The sequence below is a fragment of the Homo sapiens genome, chromosome 5 (genome assembly GCF_000001405.40).
Source record: "Homo sapiens chromosome 5, GRCh38.p14 Primary Assembly".
NCBI lineage: Eukaryota > Metazoa > Chordata > Mammalia > Primates > Hominidae > Homo > Homo sapiens.
The window spans coordinates 20328047-20347771 of record NC_000005.10 but is presented as its reverse complement, the minus strand read 5'-3'; the positions used below and the strand labels follow the sequence as shown (position 1 = coordinate 20347771).

General features: G+C 41.3%; 1 protein-coding gene and 1 long non-coding RNA gene across 10 annotated transcripts in view; one reads left to right on the top strand and one right to left on the bottom strand.

The window, feature by feature from the left end:
* Nucleotides 1-19725, top strand: part of CDH18 (cadherin 18) — a 1104418-nt gene that overhangs the window by 227942 nt on the left and 856751 nt on the right. The window contains exon 2 of one of the 9 annotated variants that reach the window (NM_001349558.2): nt 9533-9680. The exons of 7 other annotated variants lie outside the window; for them this stretch is intronic. The gene's annotated coding sequence lies outside the window, so the exon portion shown is untranslated. Of the gene's footprint in view, nt 1-9469; nt 9681-19725 lie in introns of those variants that run through there. One more of the 9 variants, XM_017008927.3, reaches the window with a different exon arrangement.
* CDH18-AS1 (CDH18 antisense RNA 1) overlaps nt 15326-19725 on the bottom strand; it is a 26896-nt gene continuing 22496 nt past the window's right edge. Inside the window, exon 2 of the long non-coding RNA NR_146519.1 lies at nt 15326-16416. This is a non-coding gene — a long non-coding RNA (CDH18 antisense RNA 1). The remainder of the gene's footprint in view (nt 16417-19725) is intronic.

Below are 19725 nucleotides of genomic sequence, written 5' to 3'. Positions count from 1 at the left end.
GGCTGACTGACTCCCTCTTGGTTATTACCCATGAATGCTTAACCAAAATCCATGGAGGGGCTAAACACACAATGCTGATATCATGTTAACAATATTATATTTAGCAAGGTTAAGACAAAGATATTTATTTTGATGAATTGTGCCTGCCCCTAAGTTGGGACAGTCCCTGTGAGCAGCACCCTGGCTTAAGGGGAAGCTCTTAACCACATTTCTTCCCTTTAGCTGCATAGGCAGTTTAGGTGCTGTCCATGGTTGTTCATGTGAATATTGCCTCTCTCTGTTCTTCTCCACTGATCCTCCCTCTCGATCTGCCTAACCAGCTCCTAACTGCCTCCTCTCTCCTTCCCCATTCTGGAGTAGTGACCCTAATTGCGGTTTAGGGAAAAGGGAAGAAAACCACACTAGCTGCTCAAGCTGTGAGGGGACATTGTTTGTGTGGCAGTCAAGAGTCATGCAGAGGGTGGTCTAGCAGGCCTCGGAAGAAGGACTTGTCCATGTGGGGTGCCATCTGCATCACCATCTAAAATTTGATGACCTCTAGGTGAGAAGAAACAAATTTTACAAGAAGGTTTAATATGCAGAGTCCAAGAAGCAGAGCTAAGACAATCATTACCAGAAGTCCTAATAAGTGGGGGAACCATGTCATTGAAGGGAGATATCCTTTAATGGTATTTCATATATCTCCAGCTAAATGGGTCTTAGCACCCCTTAACAATTTAGCTCTACAAAGTAGATGGTTGGCTCCAAATTCAACCTCTCCTTAGGAGTTAACATAAAAACAACAAGAAGTATCTGCTATAGCACATACCCCTCATTTTTCTGCTAAGAGATAATCAAGGTCTATTCTGTGATCCATCACCTGATTGGCAAGTAAATCTAATGACATTTGGAGGACCTTAAAACCCTGAACAGCATCTTCAGCATATTGTTCAATTACACTTGATGCATTTTGAATTGTTTATGCATTGTAAACTATTCCTACAACCGAGCCACCTATGGATGTAACAGCTGTTATTACACTCAAGGCTATAAGACCTACTCCTCGTTTCTGTTTGGTACGTTCTTAATGGGAAGGGACTTTGTGAAGTAGATACTGGCATATTTGTAAAGAGCCATCTAGAGGTAACACCCATTGCAGGGAATACATCCCTCGCACCACTGTGCAGTATAGGCAACTCAAGGCCCAGAGTTTTTGCTGCTGGTCTTCACAGACGAACCACAGTCCCTGAGATGCATAAAAGATAGTGGTATTTTTTCAAGTTCACCCACTTCTGTACATCCTGGCTGAATGTACAGTTTGGGACAGATGATTCAGCTCCTAAAGGACCCCAAGAAGTACCAGCCCAAGCTCTTTCCTTTTGTAAGGCAGAGTGGTTTGTTAAGGCACCAACAATTAAATCTGCCCACATACAATGAATGTAGGCATTAACTGTCCAAAAATTCTTGTTCTGATAAGTTTTAATACCTCTAGTCCCGTTAAATAGTTGATAAGCAAAAGCTTTGGAAGAATAAAAATTTTAATTAATAAGACTCTCTGCTCCATAACATAGAGTGTTCCATGTTGTTAGTCTCCAGGTGGAAACACAGGGTATTGAGGACTACTAGGGAAATCCTCTCTTATCGAGGTGGGTAGTCCCCCCATGTTTGTACCAAACAGCCATTCTAAACGGTTGGATTTCTGGGACTACTGCTGCATTTTCAGAAAAGGGTTGGAAACATTTAGGAAAGTGAGAGGAATATATTAATCATATTTAGCTTATTGGAGCATTTCTGATAAATATGCCAGAGTGCAAGAGGTACTCCTGATGGTAATTGTGGTGACAGTAAAGTGAAATTCTTTACTACATGCATAATTTGTGACATTCCAAAGGAGATATACATAGCTTTTTTGAGGGTGGCCCCCGTCCGCAGTGGAGGACTTCTTATAAATTGTATTAATGGAGGGGCTGAAATGGAAGGACTACAGAAGCATTGTGGCCACTCTGGAATTGGTGGTGCCTGCTTGCAAGGGTTGGTTATAGGTTTCAACTTGTATAAGTATGAGGTGGATTTTTTCAGGAGATTCATGGCAAATCTAACAATTACTAAGATTCTGACCTTTTGTTATATCCTGGGTTAGGTGGGTTAGGTAATTTCCATTTCCTATCTTACATATTATTTAAAAAACTAATATAAAAAAGCCATTCATAATATAAGCAGACGTTAAACAATTACTTAGCTAAGAAAGTTGCATATGGTTGGAATAAATATAAATGATATAATAAAAAAGAGCTACAGAGGGAAAAAACAGGAATAAAAAGCAAAATAGGCTAATCACTTTGAAAGCAATGTTGTGGCTAAAGCTGTTTCACGTTGTGAAAGACATTAAATCCTAGCAGAAAAATAGCTGCTTAGGGAAGTAAATAATCCCTTGGGTGTTCCGGATTAAGGGATCCTTGGCAAAGTTGCCTTATCGTGAGAATTACCACAGAAGCAGAGCAGCAGTTATAAAAAATAGTACCCCAATATACCCCAATATACAAATTACAACCCCAATTTCCAATTGGATGTTGGGAAGTCTGATTCCAAATAATATTTGACCTCTCCCAAAGGATCTATTAGATTAGTATTTAGACTCCATGGGTAATGAAAGTCTCCCTGTAAAAATGCATCAAAAAGTGTTTCAATATTCACTGATGAGTGGTGAGAGGAAAAGTGGAGATAATTGAATGGCTTTGGCAGATAAGGGATACAATGGGACTAAGATGATGGGATTAGCAATGAGAGTGTTCACTGTTCATAAAGGTGAGAGATTAATTGCTGGCAAGGGCAGCAACACACAGGTTTAACTATGCAAGTTAGAACAAATGCAATGACACCAAGTACCAAATGTCATATGGGTAACACCAGAGAAAGAATGTCAATAGGCCCCATATGTTACTTATCTTTTATAATTTTTATTTTGAGATCTCTAATTTCTTCACATTGATATTTTTTGTGTCCTTCTGAGCTAGTGGAGGCAAAGGGGCTCAAACCTGTCTTTGAAGGGGTGTTTCTCACCCATAATAAGGCCATGGGAAGAAGAGTGACCTGAGGGAAATGAGTTTCTTGAGACATTTTTCTGAGGTCCTTTGATAATATCATTTATCTTTTCTACCTTTCCCGAGAACTGTAGTCTCTAGGCACAGTGAAGACGGTATGGTATGCTTAGTGCTTTTGAGGCCCCCTAGGTGACAGCCCTTGTATAAGGGGCCATTATTGCTCTGGGAGTACTTATGGAGTCCAAAGTGAGTAATTATCGTATTAATTAGTACTTTATCAACTCAGAGGCTCTTTCTGTCATGGGAATGCTTCTACCCAGTTAGTAAAGGTATCTACCCATACCAAGACATACTGGATGCCCCTTATCTTTGGCATAGGGGTGAAATCTGACTGTCAGTCTTCCCCTGGGTAGCCTCCCATTCTTTGGGTTCCAGGGGAGAGAAGCTGTCTGTTGAGGGGATTAATTTTAAGGCAAATTTCACAAGCATTAATAACCTCTTTGACTGTATTTAGCAGATTTTCACCTGAGAACAGCCTTTGGGCCAATTGGTAAGTTTTATTCTTTTCTAGGTGAAAGGATTGATAAAGGATTTTAAGAACTTTCCATTGGCTGGAGGCAGGCAAAGGAAGTTTGCCATCCTCCAATAGTAGCCATCCTTTGGGCTGAAAAGTGTATCCTTGAGAGATGGCTCATTCTATTTCTGCAGGAGAATACCAAGGTTTTATTTCTTTTATGGAGCCCTTCCAGATCAGAGGTTCCTCAAGTGCATTGGAACTCTGGGGCATTTTTGCTGCTAACTTAGCTGTTTGGTCTGCTAATCTGTTTCTTTTGGTTATTTTACCCATCCTCTTTTGGTGGACTTTGCAATGTATTACTGCCACTTCCCATGGAAGGAAAAGTGAGGATACTCGTTTGTCAATTTCCTGATGGTATTTAATGGTAGACCCATTAGATGTAAGGAAGTGTCTCTCTTTCCAGTAGTGGCATGGAGGACTAGGAAAGCATACTTGGAATCAGTGTAAATGTTAATGGCTTTCTCTTTGTTTAATCCAAGTACCCTAGTGAGAGCAATTTGCTCAACCAGTTGAGCACTTGTGTCCAGTGAGAGAGGTGTGCTTTCAATAATGTCATTCAGGGTGACCATTGTATATCCTGCTTTATGGACTCCTTGTTCTACAAAAGAACTTCCATCTGTAAAGAGAATCCAGTCTGGGTTATCAAAGGGGGTTTCTTTGAGGTCCTCCCTAGCCACATATATTTGCACCACTATCTGCATGAATTGTTGGTAATGTAATGGGGTCCTTCCTCAGGGGGACATGGCATTCCCTTCATTCAAGGGATTCTGTGTCTGTAAACTGGCTCAAGTCTGGACAGTGATTGAGGGGCTGTGATTCTCTGTTTTTATAATTCAAATTAGTCTTTTGTCCATTCAACCTATAAGTTTTCTGTTTGTATAATGTATGTAGGAATGCAGTAGGCTTCCTATCAGTTTTACTTCTAGGAACATTGTGATTAGTTAGCCAATGCCAGGGCTCTACAGGTGTCAGACTATTCTATTGCCACTTTGCCTCTGCTATCCATTATGGTAGCTACGCCCACCTTGCCTTGCCTTTGATGGTTGAGTGCTGCCACTTGGCCTTTGCCACCTCGGGATCCAATTATTCCCATTGTGTTTAAATATTTTAGTTGAGTGACTGCAGTTCAAACCGTTAGATCTGACATACAGAGAAAAGCAATTATAGGGCTCTTCAAAGATGCAGGTGCTGCCCTCACAAATCTATTCTGCAAGGCATTGGTGAAGGGTATATCTTCTGGACCCTCCCAGCTGGGATGAGTAGGTCTAAAGTGACTAATCCACTCCACCATCACAATCTCTCTAAGCCTTTGAATCCCTTACTCTACACTAAACCAGGGAGGTCAAGCATTTCCAGCTCACTCATGGTGGACCAACTTTTAACGCATATTTCAGCTAACCAAGCAAATAAACTATTAGAACCTTTTTTAACTCCCTGACCTGCAACATTAAATGCAGAGTCCCTACTCAGTGAGCCCAAATCAATAAATGCAGTCTGATCCAACTCTATGTTCCTTCTGCCATTATCCCACACTCTTACTATCCATTCCCATGCCTATTCTCCAGATTGCTGTTTATCTAGAGAACTCAAACAGTTCTTTTCAAGTGTAGTGCACCTCCTCATGGGTCACACTCTCAACTTTACCTCTAGGGTCCTGCCGGGACTTTAGTTATGGGTGTAGAAGCAAACAGAGGTGTTAGGGATAGCATCTGAAGAGAATCAATATTAACTTGCCTGGCAGCTGCCTCAGGGGAGGCCATCACTGTTCCCTCAGGGAGCACAGGGTTTATCTCCTCAGACAAAGGTGGAAAGCCTGATGGCAGCATGGGTCAGGTAGGGGTATTGCCATTACTGGGGATGGGGAAGCTGTTCCTTCTGGCAAAATAGGTTCATCAGAGTTTACAAACTTAGTGTCCCCAGCTTCATCAGGGTCCTCCCACACGTCCCCATTCCAAGTTGCAGGGTCCCATTCTTTTCCAATCAATACCCTCACTTTAACAGTAGACACCGGGTGAGGCTGTGCATGGATCTTTCATTGCAGGTCAGCCACTCATATGATAAAATCTTATGTTTGTTTTTCCGTAATTTCAGCTCTTTCTCTCCAGGAGACAAAACTCTTACTCAGGGCAATCTTAGCAGATGTGAGGCTCAGAATCTGCTTCTGAAGCGAGGAGACAGAATCACTGAGTTCATCATTTTCATTCATCACTTTGTCCACTGAGCTTAGGAGCAACCAACCAGCTTCATTATGTTCCTTGGTCCTCCAAATATGATCAAAGGTATTATGTGTAGAGTCACTAAACTCCTTGCTTCTCATGATCAGTGAATCAGGAGTGTCATATGCATTTTTTTTTTGCATGACTCTCTAAACAGTTCACATCAAGGACTATCAGTGTTCTCCATACTACTAGAAGTAGAGTCCTTAGCATTTTTGGGTCTACTCACATTAAGCAGCCAACTTCAGAAACCCCAAAACAAATGAAAGAACTCCATCCTTAATATTCTGTTATCCAGAACCACTCCTGGTACCAAAATATGTATTAGTCAGGGTTCTCTAGAGGGACAGAACTAATAGAATATACATATCCTATTAGTTCTATATTAGTGTTTGCATAAATATATATATATATGCCCTCTAATATATATATTAGAAAGAGTTTCCTTTATATATACAAAGGAGAGTTTATTAAATATTAACTTACATCATCACAAGGTCCCAAAATAGGCTGTCTGCAAGCTGAGGAGCAAGAAGAGCCAGTCTGAGTCCTAAAACTGAAGAACTTGGAGTCCAATGTTAGAGGGCAGGAAGCACCCTGTATGGGAGAAAAATGTAGGCTGGGAGGCTAGGCCTGTCTCATCTCTTTACGTTTTTCCACCTGCTTTATATTCGCTGGTTGCTGATTTGATGGTGCTCACCCGATTAAGGGTGGGTCTGCCTTCCCCAGTCCACTGACTCAAATGTTAATCAACATTGGCAACACCCTCACAGACACACTCAGGATCAATATTGCATCCTTCAATCCAATCAAGTTGACACTCAGTATTAACCATCACAAGGGGATATTGCCTCTGGTTAGGGAAGGATGTGGGAGCTGTAAGATGGATTTGAACCAGTATGGTGGTTGTAGCCCTGCCAATTTTTCCTTGAGTTTCCCAAACTTCTGAATTAATGTTGGTCTCCACCAGGGGAAGACAAAGTGTTTGCTCTGGATCTATAAGGATGATCAGTCCCATAGGAGCTAAGAGATCCCTACCTAGCAAAGCAGTTGGGCTTTCAGGCATGATTCAAAAGGCCTGAGTAAACAAGAGTTCTACCCAGCTCCAACTTATGGGTTGAGGAAAACGTCGGATTAAAGTCTTTCCTGAGTTGTTCATCACGGTCATGCTACAGGAGGAGGAAGGCCCAGATTGGAGGGGAGATCAGAAAGGCTCACTCCAGTGTCCAGAAGGAAGTTCACCTTCCTCCCTTCAACCTCCAGAATCACCTGAGGCTCCTAGATGGTAATAGCAGTCTGAGCCATTGGAGCTGTGGAGTTGAGCCCATGACCCATCCATCCTACTGGACCATTTGTGAGACTAGCTCTGGACCCAGTGACCTAAACCTCCAGGGACAGTGAGCCTTCCAGTGGTCCCCAACACAGGCTGGACAGCGTCAAGGAGACTTCCTTTTGCTGCCTGGACAATCCTTCTTAAAGTGTCTTGGTTTGCCACACCTGTAGCAATTAACAGGTGCAGCTCAGGACTCCTGGGTTTTATAGGCCTGCAGAGTAGCCACTAGAGCCTCTGCCTTTTTCTTGTGCTTCCTCTTTCTCCTGAGCCTCCTCCTCGTGCCTGTTGTAAAAGACGAGGTGGCCACCTTCAGGAGGTTTTATAAGGTGTTATCTGGTCCTATGGCTTATTTCTGTAGCTTCTTCCTGACAACTTGTCTAACTGGGTAATAAACTTGTCCTTTCATATTTGTTGTCCTTCATTTGAATTGAGAAACAGGGAGGTGTGTTTTATTAAAGCTTTTCTCAGCCTTTCCAAAAAGGCTGAAGGATTTTCATCTGGTTTCTGGTCTATCATAGATAGTTTGGAGTAATGAAGAAGCTTGGCCCTGGTTCTTTGTGAGCCCTCTAATATACACATTAGAAAGAGATTCCTTCTCCATTCTCTGGTGCTTTCATCAATGTTCCATTTAGAGTCCTCCAAGGGCACTGCTACCCTCTCAATTGGATAATACTCTTCCCCTTTTCTGGCATTGTATGAGACACAAAGTTTGTCTTCAAATTTCTCTGCTGCTTGCAGGGCTGCCTATTTTTCAGCAGCAGTCAGGGTTTGATTCAAGGGTTGCATAAAATCTTTCCAAGAGAGTTTAAATACTTTGGTTAAGTTCTGGAAAGCTTCTATATACATATCAGCATTATCCGGAGTACCAAGATCCCTCTTAATTTGTTTTAAGTCCTGTATAGAAAAGAGGACCTGTACCTTAATGGGACCATATTCACAAGGCATCTTTTCTAGGGGCATGAGTAAGGCCAGGGGCCACCTAAAAAGAGGGTTCCTAGAATGGGGTAAGTTTGACGGGGTTCTAGGAAGTCCTGGATAAGTTGGGCAGGATGGACCAGGGGAACCTATAGAGAAGGTAGTGCCTCTCTATAGGCATTTCCAGGGATTCCCGCCTCCCTGTCCCAGTCCACTAAAACTGTCCCTTGCAGCTCCTCTCACAATACAACTGCTAGTAGGGCTGAGTCAATGCTATAGCATTGAAAGAGGTCTGGGTTATCCCACAAAGCAAAGGAGGCTTATACATATGGGACCTCAGACCATTTACGCTCATGTTTGCAGAAAAGGTCCGGCTGCTGGATGGTGTTAAAATTAATACTTCCCTCAGGAGGAAAGACCTGTCTGTCCTCTAGCTGGTAAGCCAGCCATGCCTTTGTGCAAAAGAATATAAGTAATTTTCTCTTTAGAGTCTGAGGGTCAAAGGAGTCCCAGTGTTTCAGGAGGCACTTGAGGGGAGTGGAGGCTGAAGATGTTACCCACCTAGAAAGAGAGAGGAGAAAAAGCAGCCTATCCAGAAAGAGAGGGGAGAAAAGGCATCTCTTAGTCTGCTTCCCCCATTCAGAGTGTCCTTGGGTGGAGAGAGAGAGAATAGGCATCCTCTGTCTTCTTTTTCCCTCACTGTATCCCCTGGCTCCTGTCGGCTGTCATAAGTACTGCCTATGGATCCAGAGTAGCTAGTCAACAGGGGAAGTCACACTTACCTTGTTTTAAGTGTACCTGGGCAAAGCCCTAGCTCTCCACTGTTGGTGTCTTTGCCTTCCTAGCCTAGTTGCCTTTTTAGACTTCCACCTTGGGGCCCTGAAGAGACACTGGAATAGCTGAATGTGGGCCAAAAACCTCAATGGAAGGGGTGCTCTAGGCCATTCACTAAATTCTTCACTCATTTTGCAGGTCAGAGATTGGGTAAAATCAAGACATCACAGAAAAAGGGAATGATTAACCTCCAAACATATTCCTCCTTGTTGTTTCAGTTCCATTGCAACTGGAAATATACCAGATGTCTCAAAAGGATGTAACCTTCATACTGGTTCCCTCCCTTCTGCAGAGACAGCATAGAAGCAAACATCTGTCTAGCTATGCTTTCTTCTTTTTCCCTATCATACAGTAAACTTTTCCATTTGCAAATGGGGCAAGAGGCTTGGTCCCTGATGAGAGGCCGGAGGAGTGTGTGTAATTGGAAAACTAAAGGTTTTGGCCAGAGGGTTGATGAAGCTCCCCAAGGAAAGAAATCCCATCCCATCACGTGGCTTGATAATAATTGAAATGTTTGGCTGTAACTTTTCCTCCAAATACTTTCTTTCCAGGCAGACATTGTAAAGAGAGGTTTGGGGCTTGATAGGCTGTCTCTACAATGTGTCTCCTAACAGAAGAAAATTAATTTGTCTCATAGAGATGCTGCTTAAATTCATTGGACAGTGCTGAGTTCTTACATGAAGAAAGAAACAGCCCAAATGGAAAGAAGAGTATTGATATGGTTTGGCTGTGCCTCCACCCAAATCTCATCTTGAAATCCCACCTATTGTTGGAGGGACCCAGTGGTAGGTAACTGAATCATGGGGGCAAGTCTTTCCCATCGTGTTCTCCTGGTGGTTGGTGGGTCTCACAAGATCTGATAGTATTATAAGGGGAAGTTTCCCTGCACAAGCACTCTCTCTTTGTCTACTGCCATCCATGTAAGACTTGACTTGCTCTTCTTTGCCTTCAACCATGATTGTGAGTTTTCCCCAGCCACGTGGAACTGTAAGTGCAATTAAATCTCTTTCTTTTGTAAATTGCCCAGTTTAGGGTATGTCTTTATCAGCAATGTGAAAACAGACTAATAAAGTAAATTGGTACCAGTAGAGTGGGGCATTGCTGAAAAGATACCCAAAATGTGAAAGCTGCTTTGGAACTGGGTAACAGGCAGAGGTTGGAATTGTTTGGAGGGCTCAGAAGAAAACAGGAAAATATGAAAATGTTTGGACCTTTCTAGAGACTTGTTGAATGGCTTTGACAAAAATGCTGATAGTGATATGAACAATAAGGTCCAGTCTGAGGTGGTCTCAGATGGAGATGAGGAATTTGTTGGGAACAGGAGCAAAGGTGATGCTTGTTATGTTTTAGCAAAGAGACTGGTGTCATTTTGCCCCTGCCCTAGAGATTTGTGGAACTTTGAACTTGAGAGCCATGAGTTAGGGTATCTGGCAACAGACAAATACCCTACGCAGCAAAGCATTCTAGAGGTGACTTGGATGCTGCTAAAGGCGACTTGGGTGCTGCTAAAGGCATTGAGTTTTATAATGAAAGCAGAGCATAAAAGTTTGGAAAATTTGCAGCCTGACAATGTGAATAGAAAAGAAAATCCCATTTTCTGAGGAGAAATTCAAGCTGCTGCAGAAATTTGTATAAGTAACAAGCCACATGTTAATCACCAAGACAATGGGGGAAAATGTCTCTAGGTCATGGCAGAGACCTCTGTGCCACACAGACACCACAGAGTGAATAGCGTAGAATTGATTAAGCAAAAGGAAAGTTCTAGGCAAAGAGAGGGGGTCTGAAATCAGGTTTCCAGAAATGGGGCTGAGTTCAGCCTCTTTTATGTGGCAGAAGCCAGGAAGTCTTCTATGGGCTTTGCCCAAATGGGAGGGGTAAATTTCCCTCCTAGGGGTGTTGCATCTGCACATGTCTGGGGTTGGCCAGAGTGAGTCCATCTTGGTTATTATCCATGAGTGCCTGAGCAAAACCCATGGGGAATCTGAAACCACAATGCTAATGTCATGTTAATGACTTTATAATGAGCTGGGTCAAGTTAAGGACATTTAGGTTGATTTATTGTGGCTGCACCTAAGTTAGGACAGTCCCTTCTGAGCAACATCCTGGCATAAGGAAAAGTTCTTTTTTTTTTTTTTTTTTTTTTTTTTTTTTTGAGACAGAGGCTCCCTCTCTGTTGCCCAGGCTGGAGTGCAGTGGTGTGATCTCGGCTCATGAGAAGCTATGCCTCCCGGGTTCACGCCATTCTCCTGCCTCAGCCTCCAGAGTAGCTGGAACTACAGGCGCTGGCCACCACGGCCGGCTAATTTTTTTGTATTTTTAGTATAGACGGGGTTTCAACACATTAGCCAGGATGGTCTTGATCTCTTGGCCTCGTGATCCGCCCGCCTTGGCCTCCCAAAGTGCTGAGATTACAGGCATGAACCACTGCGCCCAGCCATAAGGCGAAGTTCTTAACCCCATTTCTTCCTGTTAGCTGCAGACACATTGTGGGTGCTGTCCTGTGGTTATTCCTGTGAACCTTGCCTTTCTCTGTCCTTCTCCTGAGACTCTCCCTCTCTATCTGCCTAACCAGCCCCTAACTGTGTCCTCTCTCATTCCCCCCTCTGGAGTGGTGATCCTAACTGCTGTTGGGGGAAAAGGGGAGATGACCACACTAGCTGCTTGGAGCTGAGAGGGGGCATCATTTGTGAGGCAGTCGGGTCCACCAGAGGGCAGTCTAGTGGGCCTTGGAAGAAGGACTTGTCCAAGTGGGGTTCCATCTGCCTCATCATCTAAAGTTTGATGGCCTCTAGGCGAGAAGAAACCCTCCCTATCTGCCCAACCAGCTCATAATTGCCTCCTCTCTCAATAGTACATAATTTTATTCATTATACTCACCATTATTTTAATTACAAAAAATTTTTCCTCTACACAAACCCTTCTGCTTAGCTTTCTTTCTGTAAGACCAAGTTTTGTTAAAAGTAAATGAAATCATTTTTAAGAATATTCTTTCATAATGTAAAGTAACACACCAATGAAAAGTAGTGTTAATGTCTTTGTTCATAATGCTTTAATATTTTTATGACATACTTTTCAGTTGCCTGGTGCATGCTTTAACTCTCATTTCTCTGATGAACAAATGTTACTGAGATTCTACTATGTTTCAGACACTCTTCCAGTTCTGAAAATACAGCAGTGAAAGACACAGATAAAAGTTCCTATCCATTTAAGTGATAAGACTCTGAAAATAATCAAATAAATAAGTTGAAGTATGCATATTTTCAGATGCTGATAAGAAAAACAAAGCTAAGGTGTCCCTGGGACTTATAGAGTAATAGGATAGTGAAAGTCTCAGAAATGTCCTCATTGGGAATGTGACCTTAAAGAAAAGTTTTGGGAGGGCAAGGTGGGAGGATCACTTGAGGCTGGGAGTTCAAGACTACCCTGGGCAACAGAGCAAGACCCTGTCTCCACAAAAATAATGACAATAACAACAATACAATAATAATAATAAAGTTGAGATAAAAGAAAAAGTCTGAAGGAAATAACAGTGAATAACTGAAGTGAATAACTGAAGGAAATTAACTGTGTGAATATGTGGGGCTTTTATAACTGGTAAAAGAAACAAATGCAAAAGTCCTGGGGGAATAGAGACTTAGCATGTTAGAAAAACAAGAAGAAGTCCACCTTGCTACAGAGAAATAAGGGAAGAGTGATGAAGCATCAAGCAGGAGGCATAATGAGGGAGGAAGGAAGCCTTGTAGGGGCTTTGTGGGACTTAGGTTTTGACTCTGTATGATGTGATGACACGTTATGGGAGGTTTGAATGAGGTTCATTCTGCCTAGCACAAGATCAGGAAACCAAAGAGAAGACTCAAAAAGACCAGTAAGGAAGGTATCAACTGTGTCCAGTTGAGAAGCAATGGAGGCATTGACCAAAGTGGCTGTTGCATCATTGAGAAAGACCAATTTTCACTGTGTTTTGGAGACAGAGATTGTTATTGTCCTGCTGGATCTAAGCATGTTGAGAGAAAAAGAGAGGAGTCTGGAGTATCTGACAAGATGAAAGAATCAGGTTGTGCTTTATTGAGGTGGAGAAGCCATTTGTGTGTGTGTGTGTGTGTGTGTGTGTGTGTGTGTGTGTATGAGAGAGAGAGAGAGAGAGAGATCATAGCACTCATATATGTGTTGGGAAGAATTAGGAGAATTTCTTTTAATAAATTTAAAATATTATTAGTTATAGAAATCTTAATGTGGACTATTCTTCTTTCACCCCATAAACAGTTGTGAAGTTCTTTTAGATACCACATTTGTCATCTCTCTGGGACTCATGTCGTTCCCTCTTCTCTCTGATTGACATTAGTCTTCAATCGTTTTTTCCTGAGTTATTTAAACATCGTCTGAATCATCTCTCTGCTGTTCATTATTAGTCTTTCCAGTGCCTATTAAGAATTCAAGTCAGGCCGGGCGCGGTGGCTCACGCCTGTAATCCCAGCACTTTGGGAGGCCGAGGCGGGCGGATCACGAGGTCAGGAGATCGAGACCATCCTGGCTAACACGGTGAAACCCCGTCTCTACTAAAAATACAAAAAAAAAATTAGCCGGGCGAGGTGGCGGGCGCCTGTAGTCCCAGCTACTCGGGAGGCTGAGGAAGGAGAATGGCGTGAACCCCAGGGGGCGGAGCCTGCAGTGAGCCGAGATTGCGCCACTGCACTCCAGCCTGGGCGACAGCGAGACTCCGTCTCAAAAAAAAAAAAAAAAAAAAAGAATTCAAGTCAGATTTATACATTTAAAATACAGTAATGACTATTTTATTATCCATATCAAAGATGTTCAGAGATTTTCCTTCTTCTTCCTCTACTCATTCCCTCTCTTGGCATTCAAGATATTCCAAAACATGACCCCAAACGTTTATCTTTTAAATTCATTTAACATCTTTGCTCATCAAAAATTGCAATTTTATAAATTAAATAGTTACTTATGATAGGAATAACTTATGTCTTTTTAGCCCTTCAAACTCATCTTTAAATTTTTCTTATGAATTATTTACATCTATAAGTTTTACCTTACAAAGTGATGCCTCCAGTAAGATGCTGCTGGGCTAGAAAAGATAATGCTTCCAGGTGGAAATGAACTATTTTGGAGTCAAGGTGTACAAATTGCTGCATAACACTGTAGCAAATAGCACAATCGATGCCGGTTAAATTCTTAAAATATTTAAGCATTTGTCTTTTGATCTCACTTTTCTCATTTGAATTGAGGAATGAAATTGTTCATAATATCAACAAGGCAAAGATTACCTTTATAAACATGAAAGATATATATAAATATATATATATACATATATGTGTGTGTGTGTGTGTGTGTGTATATATATTGTTTTTTTTTTTTTGAGATGGAGTCTTGCTCTGTCACCAGGCTGGAGTGCAGTGGCTCGACCTCAGCTCACTGCAACCTCCGCCTCTTGGGTTCAAGCGATTCCCCTCCCTCAGCCTCCCAAGTAGCTGGAATTACAGGCACGCGCCACCATGCCCAGCTAATTTTTTGTATTTTAGTAGAGACGAGGCTTCACCATGTTGGCCAAGATGGTCTCAATCTCCTGACCTCCTGATCTGCCAGCCTCGGCCTCCCAAAGTGCTGGGATTACAGGTGTGAGCCACCATGCCCGGCCACATGAAAAATATTTTGATCCCATATACCTGTGTGTGTGCCCACACACCAATAAACTTCCTATCAATGTTGTTCTGGTTGTATCCCTTGAGATAAATTCTCATATCTATTATATAGAGGTACAGCAGGTCCTCCAATAATATTGTTTTGTTCAATATTGTTTTGCCTCAACATTGATGAGGAAAAAAAAAGTTCCTTATCAGTGTGGAGTTTGCATGTTCTCTCCATGTCTGTGTGGCTTTTCTCTGGAAGCTATGGCTTTCTCCTGTATCGCAAAGCTATGCACATTAGGTGAACTAGCATGTTTAAAATATCCCAGTCTACATGAGTGTGGGTGTGTATGTGAGTGTGCTCCGTGATGGGATGGTGTCCAGTCCAGGGCTCTTTCCCCTCCTTTCACCCAAAGTTTTCAGAAGACTTTTCAGCCACCCGTAACCCTGAACTGGCACAATTGGGTAAATAATTATCTTGTTTTTATAAGTTTTTATGAAATGTAGGTATAGTTCAAATTTCTTTCAATATTTAATATTAGAATTGTTTTGTTGTTAATCTAGGAATTTAATGACATTTTTGTTACTAGAAATATGTTTTAGGTACTCAACTCTTCTTTGTAACAATTAGCTTATGGTATAGAGTTTCATTATACATTGTTTCACTTAAAGTCACAGTGTCCAAAAACCTGTCCATAGCATTCAGTGAGGTCTTACTGTTTCACCAAGTTTGGTGGCTTACTTTTCTTAAGTAATAGGACCATTGTCACAGAGAAGCCCAGACTTAAGCGTTCACCAGGAATGACCTTTTATTACAAGAATGATTTTATATGTCTATTCTTACCAGCAAAGAGTTGACAAGAAGTAAAAAGAAAAATCAATAATCTCACTTAAGAATTGTGAAAAGACAAAGTAGATGATATAGTTAAAGAAACTGAGGGTAGTGGAAGATGGAAATAAGTTGTGTCAATTCTGAGAGTAAAACATAACAAATACCCTGCTCTTATTGGGACCAAATATGAAGAAGTACATAACTTTTGAATAAGAATTCCAGTTATATATTTACATTTTAAATAAGTTTCCAGGAATGATCGAGTTCAAATTTTTTTTATAGACATCAACTAATTGTGTTTAGAAGTAAGCTCAGATAAGTATGCCACATAAAGGGCTTGGCTAAACAAAAACAATCTTCAAAACAGGCCACAACTTGTAGGCAGAAGGGCTTACTTGCCTGTGAACCTCATTGTCTAAATCACCTTTAGAGAAGCATGCTTGACTTGAAGCATACCTGAAAACACTTAAGGCTGAACACTCTGTAATATTCTCTTCCAGTGAAGAGACCCTTCTTCTCTTTTCTAATATTATAGGGACAGTTTAATACTGTTCTTATAAATAAGAGAAAAACAATATATATTTGGGCACGAAATAGCCTGAACTTGGCTACTGAATATTGAAATATGTTACAAAGAATACCAGATATATTCCACCTTGAGACTTCAGGAAGTTGGGCCCAGGTGTAATTCCTCCAGCTGGGGGGAGGAGGACCCCCTGGTCTCAAAGATTACCTTGTCAATAAAATACTCCTGAGTCATTCTTGAACATTCCTGGTTGTCTATAACTAAGTGCTCCTGTTGAAATGTCAGAGTCAAAATTAGTGCTTATCATAATAAGCTACAAGGTGAAGAAAACCACTAGTGTTACAGAATTTTGAATATACAATAGGACTTTCAAAAAAAATCTATTTCACACTTTTATAGGCCCGAATTGCTGAAAACGGTCATTCAGTGATCATATCAGTGTCAGAATCATGGTGAGAAGTGAAATCTTGTGTGTTTTCATATCAATGTCAGAATCATGGTGAGAAGCGAAGTCTTGGAGGGACCTAAAGAAAAGAAAGAAGAAAGGAATGAAGGGTAGGAGGAAGGAAGGGAGGGGAAAATAACAAGAGTCATTTATCATATAGGTACTACATATTGTTATGCAAAAAGGTCAAATAAACAAGATAAACATTCAAATTGTAGAGATTCAGGTCTTTATACTACTAGTCCTGAATTTCCCAAAGGGTAGACAGAGGTTAAAGAAAACATAGATCTATCATTAATCTTCTACAACTAATATTTTCCCTATCCCCATTCTTAATTCTTATCTCTAGCTCAAATGCAAATTAATAATACTTTCTCATGAAATGCACTGTGGAGAACTCTTTAGGAAACTAATACTTCACTTCTGAATGTGTTACCAGTAGCAAATACATATGGGTCTACAGCAAGCTCAATTCTTGCCTCCTCAGAAGAAAGAATTTGTTTGGGGGACATAAGGCAGAAGAGACTGAGGCAAGTTTTCAAGCACGAGTGAAAGTTTATTAAAAAGCTTTATAGCAGGAATGAACAGAAGTAAAATACACTTGGCAGACGGCCAAGCTGGTGACTTGAGAGATCAAGTGCCTGGCTTGACCTTTGACTTGGGGTTTAATATGTTGGCATGCTTCTGGGGTCTTGCATCCCTTCTCGCCTGATTCTTCCCTTGGTGTGGGCTGTCCGCATGCACAGTGGCCTGCCAGTACTTGGAAGGGGCCACATGCGCAGTGTGTTTAGGGAGGTTCTAAGCATGCTCACTTGAGGTGTTCTTTACCTACCAATCAAATGTTGCTAGAAGGTCATATACCAGTTAAACTCTGCCATTTTTGTCTGTTACTGTGCATGCATGAGCCCACTCGCCTAACTCCAGAGATCTTATTGGGAAGCTGCTGATCACCAACTTTAGGTGTTTCTATCTATTGGAAGACCGCCTTTCCCTGGCACCAGCTGGGACCAATTATTATTTTAGAGAGCCAGTTTAACAACCTCCTGACCATCACCTGATGGTCCCCTGATATTACTGGTGGCAGGGGTCCCTCTCTTGTCCTGCTCATGTCTAACTAGCTACCTACTGTATCAAATAGAGTGTTCAATCATCCTATTATATAGCAACTGTCTTCAAAAAATTTACCTTTAATCGTTTAATTGAATTACCTAAGACAGCAATTTCAGCAATAGATTCAAATTTTCCATTGGAAAAAAGTCTAATAATACATATAAGCAACTAAAAAAAGATAATTTTGCTTTTATAGAAGTAAATTCTTCGATAGTACAACAAAAATACAGACTTATGATAAAACATATATTTTTTACTTTATTTTAAATTTCTTTTGATTTGGGGGTTGGTAACACATAACTATTTTTCATTATTTGTATCTGAATTTTATTTTTCCTAAATAAGACTTCTCTCTAGGAAAAATGTAATTAATCTTAGAAAATATTACTGTACTAAAGTATCCAGAATCCACTCTAGATTAGGTTTCAATGGCATGTGTTATCTGAAATACATGTATCTTTCTGAAATATCATGAATTACTTCTCTGATAACATTATAGTATGTACACAGACTAAAATTAAGGCTTACTCTTTTTTTTTTTTTTTTTTTTTTTTTTGATGGAGTTTCGCTCTTGTTGCCCAGGTTGGAGTACAGTGGCGCAAACTTGGCTCACTGCAACCTCCGCCTCCGGGGTTCAAGAAATTCTCCTGCCTCAGCCTCCCAAGTAGCTGGGATTACAGATGCCCACCACCACGTCCGGCTAATTTTGTGTGTGTGTGTTTTTAGTAGAGATGGGGTTTCACCATGTTGGCCAGGCTGGTCTCGAACTCCTGACCTCAGGTGATCCGCCTGCCTCGGCCTCCCAAAATGCTGAGATTACAGGCGTGAGCAACCATGCCCGGCCCCATTTAAGGCTGACTCTTTATCAGCATTTTTTTCCATAGGTTATTTTGTGGAATATTTAAGACAATATTTAATTTATTATCACTTGTTCCTTTTAATATTTGGCCATGTCTAGTTTGATCAAACAGAAACTTTCATAAATTGAAAGTTTTAAAATGCAAATATTAGAACTACCTAAAATTCAATAAAACTTCAAAAGAAATAGATCAATAGTGATGTGTTATCTGCGTGCCTTCGTTCATTCTCTTTGTTCCTCCCATATAACTCTTTGCACTTACTGTCTCTCTGGCTGACCTGCATTATTTAAGGCCCAGTTCATTTGCAACTCCTCATTGAAGCCCTCAGGAATGGTTTATAGCTATTAGCTCCTTTGTTTTGGGGAGTTGGATATTAAAACAGTTCATGCTTGTAAGGATAAACCTGATTTAGAGGTTCAAGTAAATAGCTAATATTGTTTATTTTTAATAGTCGCAAAATTGGTTTTTGGGGGGTTTTATTTCTGAGATGAGATCTTACTCTGTAACCCAGGGGAGCTGAAGTGCAATGGTGCAATCACATTGCAGTCTGGACATATCCAGGCTCAGGTGATCCTACCCCCTCATCTTCCCAATTACCTGAGATTACAGGCACAAGGCACTATGTGCCACACTAATTTTTGTTTGTTTTCACCATGTGGCCCAGACTGGTCTTGAACTCCTGGGCTCAAGGGATCCACCCACCTTGGCCTCCCAAAGTGGTGGAGTACAGGTGTGAGCCACCATGCCTGACCCGGTATGGGAATCAAAAAGTGATTGAGGCAGGTCTCAATGGAGTAGAGGTTTATTTAGCCAAAGATGAGGAGTAGGCTGTTTATGGGGTGAAGGAAGAATAGTCCACATTAGAGACTTTTATATCTAATAATATTTTAAATTTATTAAAAGAAATTCTCCTAATTCTCCCCAACACATATAATCTCTCTCTCTCTCTCTCTCTCACACACACACACACACACACACACACACACACACAAATGGCTTCTCCAACACCTCAATAAAGCACAACCCGATTCTTTCATCTTGTCAGATACTCCAGACTCCTCTCTTTTACTCTCAACATGATTAGATCCAGCAGGACATGCTGTTATTTCTGTCTGCAAAACAGTGAAAATTGGTCTTTCTCAATGATGCAACAGCTACTTTGGTCAATGCCTTCATCCCTTCTCACCTGGATACGGTTGATACCTTCCTTACTGGGCTTTTTGAGTCTTCTCTTTGGTTTCCTGATCTTGTGCTAGGCAGAATGAACCTCATTCAAACCTCCCATAACGTGTCATCACATCATACAGAGTCAAAACCTAAGTCCCACAAAGCCCCTAAAGGCTTCCTTCCTCCCTCATTATGCCTCCTGCTTGATGCTTCATCACTCTTCTCTTATTTCTCCGTAGCAAGGTGGACTT